The sequence below is a fragment of the Homo sapiens genome, chromosome 6 (genome assembly GCF_000001405.40).
Source record: "Homo sapiens chromosome 6, GRCh38.p14 Primary Assembly".
Lineage (NCBI taxonomy): Eukaryota > Metazoa > Chordata > Mammalia > Primates > Hominidae > Homo > Homo sapiens.
This window is the reverse complement of record NC_000006.12, coordinates 152,633,875-152,646,317: the sequence shown is the minus strand read 5'-3', so window position 1 is coordinate 152,646,317 and position 12,443 is coordinate 152,633,875. Positions and strand designations below refer to the sequence as shown.

The 12,443-nt window shown below is 44.8% G+C and overlaps 1 protein-coding gene across 44 annotated transcripts in view, besides 1 other annotated feature; it reads left to right on the top strand.

Moving 5' to 3' along the window:
* Positions 8,956-12,443, top strand: part of SYNE1 (spectrin repeat containing nuclear envelope protein 1) — a 515,676-nt gene continuing 512,188 nt past the window's right edge. For 36 of the 44 annotated variants that reach the window (XM_047418510.1, XM_006715414.2, XM_047418507.1 and 33 more), the window contains exon 1: positions 9,428-9,680. The gene's annotated coding sequence lies outside the window, so the exon portion shown is untranslated. Of the gene's footprint in view, positions 9,130-9,427; positions 9,681-12,443 lie in introns of those variants that run through there. The other 8 variants (XM_047418504.1, NM_182961.4, XM_047418501.1 and 5 more) reach the window with 2 other exon arrangements.
* Positions 11,329-11,458: an enhancer, noted in NCBI's record as "active region_25289". NCBI's record gives its function as "activates an Ori minimal core promoter by ATAC-STARR-seq in GM12878 lymphoblastoid cells {active_cell/tissue: GM12878}" and the evidence as "EXISTENCE:reporter gene assay evidence [ECO:0000049][PMID:35858748]".

The window sequence follows — 12,443 nt, the reverse complement described above, 5'->3', positions numbered from 1 at the left end:
GAACAAGGATGTTCTCTGAATATGTTTTAAAAATAGAATCAACATGTTTGCCAATGGACTGAAGGTGAGCAATGAGAAAAAAAGAATTGTCAAGTATGATGCCAAGACTTTAGGCTTGAGCAACTGAAAAGGATGGAAGTTACCATTAAATGATGTGAGGAAGTCAAACAAAGGGGCAAGTTTGGAAGAAAAGGTCACAGATTTAGTTTTGGACCAGCTTTATTTGGGATGCCTCTTAAACTGCCTGGGAAGGCAATTGGATATAGAAGTCTGGAGTTCAGAAGAGATATCTGGGTTAGATACCTAAATTTGGGAGTTCGTAGCATACACATGATATTTAACACCATGAAATTGAATAAAATCCCCTAGGAATTAGTGCAGCTGGGAAATAGAAAAGCACCAAAGATGGAGCTCTTGGTCCCCCAAAGTCTAGAGGTTGAGGAGATAAGAGGGATGCAGCAAAGGAGACCAAGAAGCAGCCAGAAGAGAGAAAGTGAGGGAAGAGGCAGGTTCAGAAGCCAAGTGAGAAAACTATCTTGAGAAGGAAAGAGGAAATAACTAAATGCTTCTAATAGATCAAGATAGGGACAGAGATAGGAATATTAGGTTTAGCAAAGAAGTCGCTGGTAACCTAGCTAAGGTGGCATGCTGGGGGTGAAAGCTGGCCTGTGGTGAGTTCGGGAGCAAGTGGGAAGAGAGAAATTGCCAACAGAGTGTAGACCACTCTTTCAAGAAATTTTTCTTAAAATTTAGGAGAGAAATGAGGTAGTATTTGGAGTTTAGGTGGTGAACAAGAAAGTTTGTTGTTGTTAATATGGGAGGAATAGCATGTTTATATGCTGATGGGAATGAACTAGCAAAGAGAAAAGAAAGTCATGATGCTAGGAATAGAGAAAAACATTGTTGACAGGAAGGGATAGATCGAATATATAAGTGGAGGAGGTGGCCTTAACTAGGAGCTTAAAGAGTTCATTCCTAGCAACAGAAGACAAATTGGAACATTATATGCAGGCACTGACAACATGCATGCATATGCTAGTGGCAGCTTGTGGAAATTCTCTTTGATTGCTTAAAATAGTAAATAGGAAACAAAGTTAATAGCTGAAAATTTAGATATGGGGGAACATTTGGGGAAATCTGGGAAGATAGGAAAAAGTATGATATTTGTTTAGGGAAGTGGGAGAGTATATTGGTTAGAGAAATAGAGCATTCAGGGGCATTTGATTTAGTGATTTGCCATAAAGGCAAAGACCAGTTAGCATAAGGTAGTGTTCCCCCAGCCATATTCAGCAGTGTGGGTGCAGGCACGAAGTAGGCAGAGCTGAATTTAACAAGGGATGTGTGTTAGCCAAGTGAGTATGACAAGGCAAGAGGGACAGTGCTTGAGGATAAATTCAAGAGGTGAGTAGGATGGTTACATGTGGAATTTAAACCATTTTAAAAGGGATGAACATAAAGGGGGAGATAGACAATGAAAAAAATTGCAGAATCAACTGTCACTGAGCAGCCACATATGGTTAATGTGGGTTATGCACTACATACACGTAAGGTAACATCTTTCAGGTGGGCATCATCCATAAATGGAATTTAAGATTTGGGTACGCATTGTAATTTTCTGAAAGATGGCACTCAACCATCTTGTTTTATCAAAAGTGATCTTTTACAATAGTTTCCAAAAGATGGAGTTGAAATATCTGCTAGGCATGGTGGTTCGTGCCCGTAATCCTAACATTTTGGGAGGCCAAGGTGGGAAGACTGATTGAGCCCAGAAGTTCAAGACCAGCCTGGGCAACATAATGAAACCTTGTCTCTACAAAAAATAAAAACAAAATCAGCCAGGCATGGTGGCAAGCGCCTGAAGTCCCAGCTACTCAGAGGCTGAGGTGGGAGGATTGCTTGAGCACAGGAGGTCGAGGCTGCAGTGAGCTGAGATTGCACCACTGCAGTCCAGCCTGGGTAACAGAGTGAGACTCTGTCTCACAGAAAAAAAAAAAAATCTTGAAGAATTCAAACAAAGGCATCCCAAGGGCCATCGGTGACCCTCCCAATGGATGTGAGGTCCTATTCAGTTGAGGGGTTATTGGAATTGGAATGCAACAGGGAGAGTACTGGGAACAAAAGAGTCAGTGATCAGAGAGTGGAGTGTTTCCAGTTGAGATTATCATCACAAATAATTGTTACTGTTCATCATGACAAGGTCAAGACTATGATCACGGGAGTGGGTGGCTAAGTAGAGGAGAGACCAATGGTCTAAGAAGATCAACTCCCGAAGGAAGCATGGGGAGAAAGGGACAAGAACATTTCACTGGGGAATTAATATTTTAAAATTTATTCAGCAATGCTAAAATGTTTCATTTTTTAAAAAGTATTAAAATCTTAACTTTTAAAATTCTAAAACAATATTAATGTTAGAGTTATAAGAGATTTAAAAGATTTAACTTATTAAAGTAGAATTTCTGTACATTTTTCTTTTTTTTCTTTTTTTTTTTTTGAGACAGTCTTGCTCTGTGGCCCAGGCTGTAGTACAGAGCACAATCTTGACTCACTGCAACCTCTGTTTCATAAATTTAAGCGATTCTCCTGCCTTGGCCTCCTGAGTAGCTGAGATTACAGCCGTGTGCTACCATACTCAGCTATTTTTGTTTTTGCAGTTTCAGTAGAGACAGGGTTTCACCACGTTGGCCCACCTGGTCTCGAACTCCTAAACTCAAGTAATCCACCCACCTCAGCCTCCCAAAGTGCTGGGATGACAGACATGAGCCACCGCGGCCAGCCTAGAATTTCTGTAAATGTTAATTTCAGTAAACATTTGCATTCACCAGTTCACCCAAGTCTGTGTTTGTACTGGATACTGTTTCTCGGCAAACAACCTGCATTCACTCCTCTTTCTGTGCTCTCTCCTGTATCTCTGGAGCTAGAAGTTTGGGCATTACATTTCTCAGGCTCCCTTTCCTGAGGGGTTTGGGTGAAATTTGCATTCTGCCAGTGCTCTCACATGAGATTTGGAAGGCAATGTAGACACTGAGAAATTCTCCCTCCAGCGGCAACGGCAGTAGTTTTACAGAGGCTGGCTGAACACCCAGCTCCCTCACCAGGCCTAGCCTCTGAGCAAGGGCAGCTGTGATGCTGTTGGCGGTTTGCTGCAGTATCTTGACCTCTGGGTGGCAGCAGCAACTTGCCGAGCTCTGGATTGCACTTGCAATGGTGCTTACCTGAAAGCTGAAGGCAGCCTGATGATGATCACTTCTCTAGCCTTTCCAACACTCCTTAAGTTGCTTTGATTTTTCTTTAATGAATCTGGACTGACACAATATTTCATGCCAAGATTGGTTCCAGAGCTTCAAAGATGAGAATCTTGTTGTTTGACCTGGTTGCATTTGCTTACAGTGATGACCTAATTGCCTAATTCTAGTGCAAAATAGAATTATGAAGAGACATGGCACATGGTGGCAAACACTTCCTTGAATTAACACCTGTGGTTGTCGGAAGTGAAGGACCTATTGAAATCAAGAATTGTGGAGACTAAGTTGACCGCTGCTCTAGAGTCTGAAAGTAGGAAAGAGAACGAGAAAGACCATGGGGTGTGTCATCTACTTCTGACTGCACCAGAGACCATAGAAAGAAAATGGCAAGCTGGGAAACTTTACACTTTTGGATCAAGGCCTGGTCAAGGACTAGAGGACTTCTAGGACCCTTGTAGCTACATTGCTGATATAGCCAAAAATCAGACCTAAGGTCCGCTTCTGCATGTTGCAAAATTACAGCATAAAATAAATTCAAAGACTTGCCAAGTCTCTTACATGAAAGCTAAAGTTCTTATTGTAAAGAGTGGGCTATGAGAACTGGAACAGGGGCATTTGTAGGATTTGGGTGAATCCGAGGACTTTGAATGCAAATCCTCCTGAGGCACTTACTTGTCAGGAAAATAAGTCCCTCTGTCCTCGTTTGTCCTTTCTCCCTTGTCAACAGACTATTGATTCCACTACAGGCCATTACGTAACAAGTGGCTCCTAGATTTCTAGAAGACCAAGCCGGACCTCTACTGACTACATCAAGACCCTGACTGATAAAATGCCCCTTAACCTTTAAAAAGTAAGAGAGCTACTTTGATTGAAGTTTCACTGCACTGTGTGTACAAGTTGGTTTTGAAGAGATTTAAGACTAAGGGAGGGAGGTGGAAGAAGAGAGCCATTTGTTGAGTTGCACACGTGTTCATTTGAATAAAGATGCACTTCTGGTAGATCCTGGGGCCGCTGCTTTTGATAAATCCACAACATATTTTAATTACGGCAAGTTTTGTCATGGTATCAACACAGATACTTAAAGTAGGAATGACAGAAGTAGAAATGATTATTCGGGTTGGGCGCAATGGCTCACTCCTGTAATCCCAGCACTTTGGGAGGCCAAGGCGGGCAGATCACCTGAGGTCAGGAGTTCGAGACCAGCCTGGCTAACATGGTGAAACCCTGTTTCTACTAAAAGATACAAAAAGTTAGCCAGGTGTGGTGGCGCATGCCTGTAATCCCAGCTACTCAGGAGGCTGAGGCAGGAGAATCACTTGAACCCAGGAGGCAGAGGTTGCGGTGAGCCAAGATTGCGCCATTGCACTCCAGTTTGGGCAACAAGAGCAAAACTCCGTTTCCAAAAAAAAAAAAAAAAAAAGGAAAGAAATGATTTTTCTCTGATTTCATATGGGCACAATGTCTCATATTTTACAAATGTATAGAACACCATGATGCAGGCATTGGGATGAAGCTGGGCTGAAGGCAATCTGCAACTGTTGCTATCTTTGGTACCTCTTGCTAATGCAGACAGGGGACCTTGGGGGCCCAACTACAGTGATATATAAGAAGAAGATTCTTTGTAAAGTGAGACAGAATGAAAAGACGGATGAGGAGGACAGGCCCTGGGCCTGGTGGAGGAGGAAGTCAGGTTGCTGTCCTGGCAGCTGTCTCTCAGCCTGTGATGGCCCTGGGATTGTATTTTGTTGCTCTCAGGAACTGGTGTCCTAGCTCTATTAGGCTATTGCAATGTGAAATGGAGAGTGATGGTTTGCCAACTTCAGAAACATCTAGACTAATAGTAATAATAACTAGAAGCATAATAATGATGCTAATAATATCTTTCATTTATTGACCACATGCCAGGCACTGAAGTGCTGAGTGCTATTCAGGCATTAGCTCATGTAGTCCCCACAACAGCTCTATGAATGAGATACTATTAGAATCCTGAATTGCAGGGTTGTAAACCTGAATTCACAAGAGGTTAAATTCCTAGCTAAAAATCACATAGGCACTTAATGGTAAAGCTGGGACTCAAACCCAGGCCTTTCTTGCTTTAAAACCCAATACTTTAACCATTATACTTTTCTAACTTCCTGTTGACACATGTCTTAGTCTGTTCGGGCTGCTGTAACATAATACTATAGTACAGGTGGCTCACAAACAACAGACACTTACTACTCACAGTTCTGGAGGCTGGAAGTCCAGGATCAAGGCACCTTCAAATTCAGTGTCTGGTGAGAACCCACTTCCTGGTTGATAGATGGCTGTCTTCTTGATGTGTTCTCACATGGTGGAAGGGGCAAGGACTTCTCCAAGTTCCTTTTATTAGCACACTAATTCTATGCATGAGGGTTCTACCCTTATGACCTAATCACCCCCAAAGGCCACACCTCCTAATACCATGACACTGGGGATAGGTTTCAACATATGAGTTTGGGGGTGGGGGAACATACCTATTCAGTCTATAGCACAACATGGCCTTATGCCCTGTAAGTTTTATCTATTAAATATCTCTCAAATCTGTCTACATTTTCCCACCACCATCACTCTAATAATAAATACCACAGTCTTTTCTAAAGGATTACAGCACCACCTTCCTAACTGGTCCATGTTTATTGATTCTGGCTCCACTTCTAATCTGTTTTTTCACATTTTAGCCAAAGAGAACATTTTAAAACATAAATCTAATCATGTTGCACTGAGAACACTTTAATGGCTTCTTGTAAAGGGCCATCCCTTTGGTTCAGTTTTTAAGACTGGCATAGTCTGCCCTTGGCTCTGTTTCCAGCTGTACTGGGCCCACCATTCCCTAAACCTCCTGGCCCCTCCCTTGCTTTTTCTTCTGCAACCTCATCAGTCTTCCTCAGTTCCTGCAATGCACCATGTGCTTTTCTTCCATAGAGCCTCTGCATATGCTGTTCCTTCTGTCTGGAGCGCTCTCCCAATTTCCCACCTGCTCACGTTCACCTAGTTCCTGCACCTCACTGTTCAGATGTCACTCCCTTAGCAAAGCCTTTCTAATCCCTGAAATAAATTAATTCCCCTCCTTTTTTTTTTTTCTGAGTCTTGCTCTGTCACCCAGGCTGGAGTGCAGTGGCACGATCTCAGCTCACTGCAACCTTCGCTTTCCAGGTTCAAGCAATTATCCTGCCTCAGCCTCCCGAGTAGCTCAGATTATAGGCGCCTACAACCACGCTGGCTATTTTTTTTTTTTTTTGACAGAGTCTCACTCTGTCGCCAGGCTGGAGTGCAGTGGTGCAATCTTGGCTCACTGCAACCTCCGCCTCCCAGCTTCAAGTGTTTCTCCTGCCTCAGCCTCCTGAGTAGCTGGGCCTACAGGCATGCGCCACCATGCCCAACTAATTTTTTATATTTTTAGTAGAGATGGGGTTTCACCATGTTGGTGAAGCTGGTCTTGATCTCTTGACCTTGTGATCTGCCTGCCTCGGCCTTCCAAAGTGCTGGGATTACATGCATGAGCCACCGTGCCTGGCCAATTTTTGTATTTTTAGTAGAGATGGGGTTTCACCATGTTGGCCAGGCTGGTCTCGAACTCCTGTCCTCAAGTGATCTGTCTGCCTTGGCCTCCCAAAATGCTGGGATTACAGGTGTGAGCCACCATGCCTGGCCAACTCCCGTTCTTGAAAGCTCTCATAGCAACATTTGCCTTTGCTTGGAGAATGGGGTTTTATAAGTATTTGTGTGGTTCTCTGATGAATGTCTGGCTCTTCCCCCATCATACTGTAAGCTCCATGAAGGCAAGAGCCCGGTCAGAGTTTGCTTACCACGGTAGCCCCAGCACTTAGGACAATATTTGTTATGTGGTAAGTGTTCAAGCAATAGCTGTTGAGTAAATGGAGCTACAACACCCTTCCCTGGGGTGTGTGAAACTGACAAGCCCTTTGCAAAACTCTAAAATGTGCTTAGTCCTTCTACAGAGGATAAAGTTTAGCTGAGAATGGGATTTCAGCTGTATAGGGAATCAATGCCAGCAAGACAGCTCTATGCTTCTGTCTGTCTCAGCCTGTGAGAACAGAGATTAGGCCTAGTAGAGGAGTTTTAGTTGGTGGAAGCAATGTTTCAGGCTTGTGTTTTAAGTGGCTCACTTCTCAAGTAAGTAAACCCAAGAAAGTAGTTGCTTAACGTGTAGAATAGCAAGTTGGTGGCCAGGTGCAGTGGCTCACACCTGTAATCCCAGCACTTTGGGAGGCCGAGCTGGATGGGTCACCTGAGGTCGGAAGTTTGAGACCAGCCTGACCAACATGAAGGAACCCTGTCTCTACTAAAAATACAAAATTAGCCAGGTGTGGTGACGCATCCCTGTAATCTCAGCTACTCAGGAGGCTGAGGCAGGATAATTGCTTGAACCTGGGAGGCGGAGGTTGCAGTGAGCCGAGATTGCACCATTGCACCCCAGCCTGGGGAACAAGAGCGAAACTCCATCTCAAACAAACAAACAAACAAAAAGAATGGCAAAGTTGGCACAATAACTTTCTACCCATCTTCAAAAGCCGGCAGGGTGGATTGATTCTATGAAGGTAGGGATTGAGAGGGTGAGCTGAGCCATTCTGATCTGTTTCTTCTGAGTGGCAAGCCTGGAAATCTGGACCCCATTTTGTGGCCACTGGGCACAGAGGGCTGACCTGGAATAATTATGCTCTGGTGGTTGTCTCCACAAGGGGCTCTGGGGGTGCCCCAGGATTGTTGCCCTCAGGCAGAGGCAGGGCATACATTGAGAGTGATCCCAAACACTCCTCCTCCAGGCCCAACTTTTGGAGGTAGCAAGTTCTGCAAATAGAGATCCATTGTTTGGTTTCTCTCTCTAAAAAAAAACAAAAGTCAGCACAAAGAAGAGGAACACATCAGATTGGTTTACCAGATTTGTTTCAGATGTTATTATTTTGACACGATCCAGAAGAAGGAGAATTTGAAGAAAATGGAAAGCTAGGCAGTGGGAATGTTGGCAGCAGGTAAGGGAAAGGCAGGCAGCAAAGAGAAACTTCATCTACTTTATAAACTGCTCCTTCCTTTCAGCAAATTTAGAGGATAAATGACTGTTTTGTTCAGATTGGAGATTCAAGGGGGGGATTATTACTTTTAAGATTATTGCAACATGGCTTCGATTATTTTAGCTGCAATCATCCTGTTGGACTTGGACTTCACTGTTGGTGAAGAGAGACTGTGTTTGACTTTGCCTGGATACCATAAAACCACAACAAAATAAATTCTCCTGAATGCTACCAGGCAACACCAAGATCTCTTACACCACGAGAAGGACTTGTGGCCAAAGATACAAATGGCTCCGCAATGTACAGGGTGCATACAGTGCACCTGAAGAACCTAAAAGTGGTTTTTAGAATCATCATAATAAACAGTCAAGAATTAAAGATGTCAAGCGCTTTCTCAAGAAGTCTAAACTTTATACATAACATTAAAAAAGATCTATAAAGCCTGACCAGTCTCCCTCAAATTAAGTTATTTGCTACTGACTTGGCAGCCAAAACGATTTAGGATCTTTCGGAAGTTGATGAAAAAGGAGCCAGCGGGTTTTGCTCTTTGCTCTGCATCACGCCCTTCCTGGGACCATCAGGGAACCTCCCAGCCTTTCAGGATAGGTTCCGCTCAGAAAGGTCACCCGGGCAGTGGAAACCGTGGGCAAAAGTTAGCTGGCAGGACAGCGCAGCTCCTCCAGGCAGCGGAGGCAGCGCGTCCCGGCTCTCAGGGACATTTCCTTCCCACCTCGACCCCCGGGAGGTGGTCCCGGTATAAAGGCTCGCTGAGCGGGTGGGTCACAGCACAGCTTTGCAGCTGCGGAGAAACGCCCAAGGCCGTGCATCTCCAGGAGGTAGGGAAGCCTGCGAGCCTCCGGGTCCCCGCCCCCAGCTCTTCCAGGCACCGGCGCATCCCGGAGCCGGGCGCGGGGCGCGGGGCACGGAGCCGGGGAGGGGGTGTGGCGGGCCAGGGCGGTGCAGGGACCCTGCCCAGAGGCTGAACCGGCCTGGGCGACCTTCCTTCCCGACAGGAGCAGTAGATGCGTGGGGGAGGGCGAAGGGGGAGGCCTCACCCCCCAGCGAGCAGCCGGGAGGAGGAACCGGTCGCGGAGGGCGGGGAGCGCGGCTGAGCAGCCCGGCGCGGGAGTGAGTGTGGGCGAGCCAGCCAGGGTGAGCGCGGGCGCCGGGCCGCGGCCGCCGGCCGCAGCGGGCTGAGATTGTTGTCCTCTGTCACCAGGGCGGCTGGGCTCCCGCAGTCCTGCAGACCGCGCCCGATCCCGGCGACAGGGCGGGCGGACAGCCGCGCATCCCCGGGGTCCCGCCGAGCCTGGGCGCAGAGAGCCGGGAGGAAGCGTTCGCTCGCTTCGCCTTGCTGCTGGGAAACTGAACGAGGCCGAGAGAGAAGGTAAAAGGAAAGACAGAGACTGGGAGACAGGGAGAGACAGAGACAGGGAGAGGAGAGAGAGGTGCAAGACGAACACATTGCAGACAAATTGTCAGCAAGTTTGTGCCTGCACGCTGGGGCTCTGCGTGCTTGATGGGAGGGGGTGGTGGCAGTGATGTGTGTACGTGTGCGATACTCATAGATAAGGAGACTAGGAGGTTGGGGAGCCTCTTTGCATCTCGTACGTAGATGTCCCTATTAATATCCCCCTCTCTGAGTTGTCATTTCCGCTTGTGGCACATCTCCTGGGCTCCAATGGTGCAGAAGCAAAAGGCAGCCAGCCTCTTATTGTGATGGTCGGTACTGTTGCTACTATCAGATGGGAGAGGTAGGGCGTTGAACAGATTCTAGGAGCCTCCCTTCCTCCACCCCCTGACTATTTTAGGAAGGGCTGGGGGAGGGAAATGGCTTGAAGGCTGCGCGGAGGCCCTGGCGCGTCAGACTCCAGCGGCGCTGTCATGGTGCAGTTGCTTCCCGGCAGAGCCTGCACTAGAGGGCAAGAGAACTTTCGTCTCCTCTTTATAAAGATACGTTTCACATAGAGAGATCTTGCATTGCTGGCGGAGGAGTTCTGGGAAATGGTGGTGCACAGGCGGCCAGGTGCATCCCAACGGGCAGGCATCCGTGCAAAACGAAGCAGCCATCAGCCGCACAGGAAGAAGCCCCTTGGGAAGGCAGGCTGGGTGTGCTGACTGGGATCCCAGACTTTGGATGCTGGAAGTTCTGCCCCCTTCCGTAAATAGAGTCAGGTCCAGCCCAGAGGGAAATATCAGCAATGAAGCCTTAGCATCCCACAATGTTCATTTCTGAGCTTTTCGTTTTGGGGTGGAAAACTTGTATCTGAAATGTTCCTGTGAATGTTAAGAAAGTTAAAAATGAATTATTTTTCTCTTCTTTAATGCCCATCCATTTTTTGTCTTCATCTGAGAATGACTTTCCTAAAGACAACATTCGTATACAGAAGCCAGACCTATGCAAGAGAAAGTATAATAATTTTCAATGAGGCAAAGGTCATTAATATGACCTACATCTTCATAAAATGCGAATTTAATCACGAGTCATGACGATTGTTCTTTGAGAGGCTTTTTATTCCCCATGGTGAAAAAAGATTTGTAGTATGGCTAAAAAGTTCCTGATATCACCGGAACAGTGTGACAAAATACATATCTATTTTTTCTTTTCTGTTCATTACTTTGTGGCAGATTTAGAACAAAATGTGAGAGATCTATACTAACTTAATATGTTTCATGCTGAAGATTAAGAAACAGCTTCAGACTGACCCAGATAACAATATTTGCTAGGCTTTGGAAATATTTGCCTAGCTCTTATTTTATAGTCTCACTTTCATCTTTCTGAACTAATGATTTTCACAAACTGGTTTTCTTCTGTCCTCATTGACCTCATTTAAGAACTCTTTTTTACTTGAGTCCTTCCTGCCAGGGAGAGGAGATTGGAAAAAGCTAGTTTGCCATTTAAAAATGTTCAAGAATTGTTTGGTGCTGCACTGGGCCTACTTTCTGATAACTATGCTGCACACACAGCATCTTGGAAATGAAAGGAGGTGTGACTGTCACAGGATGTAGGAAGCCCATAACTGGGCAAGGTTGGTGGCATTTTCACAACTCCAGCTCTAGCTACTGCAGCCACACCCTGTGGTCTGAATGTGACAGGCATGCAGGGCCCAAACGCCTCTGCGAGGTCCTCTGTGTGTCTCCTCTTAAATGTGTACTTCTTTGTGGTCTAATCTAACGAGAACTAATGTTTGGCAAGGTGTGCAATATACTGTAGCAAGGGAAAAAAAGAAGGTTGCAGATGTCTTTGGTTGTAATTTATACTTTAGGCTTACAATAAACAAAATTTAATTATGACACTGAACATCTTTCATGCTGATTTCTGCTATACACTTTGTCTTTTGCTTACTTGTTCATGTTCTTCTATGGAAAAGATCATTTCTTATTGTTACTCTGTATAATTCATACTAGTGAATAAGAAACAGCATTGTTCCCTGATAACCTGCACACATTTATTAGTAATATACTTACATTAATTCAAAGATATCCCTGTTCTTCTCTTTTAGCCATCTTAGTATTCATTAATTAGTACCATTATTAATGGGTGAATAGAGAAAAAAATAATTAAATTTAAAATTAAACAGTATGTGAACTCTCTTCAGCAAAAGACTTGAATAGAAGGGAAACTGAAATTTATTCATGACTAAAAATTTTATTCAATAGTGGGTTTCAATATTAGTGCTATTCTTATACATGTTTAGACATTTAATTAATATCTGTACTTCCTGCTGTTGTGAATCTGTTTATGTGTTTATGTTCTCAGTTCATTTTCTTTTTGGTTAGAAATGAGCCACGTTGTCTCTGGTCATTGCAGGGTTTGAAATTTTCTGCAGTAGTTTCCTAATACCTAGAAATTCAGTTGCATTGCTTATATATATTCTTGTGGCTCAGTAGTATTTCTTCAGTGCTTTTCTTAGTGTATTCCTTTTTAGTCACACAAACAAGAAACTGCTTTAAGAGCCAATGTCCATTCTGCCAAGAGACAGAAAAAATTGAGTTGTGCTATTTCACAACTGTGTTTTTTCACAGGGAGTGATGTTAAGAAGAGTATGCCTTTCAACTGGGAGCATCCCAAATAGCAGGTAGTCCAAATTCCTAAGAAGAGTATGCCTTTCAACTGGGAGCATCCCAAATAGCAGGTAGTCCAAATTCC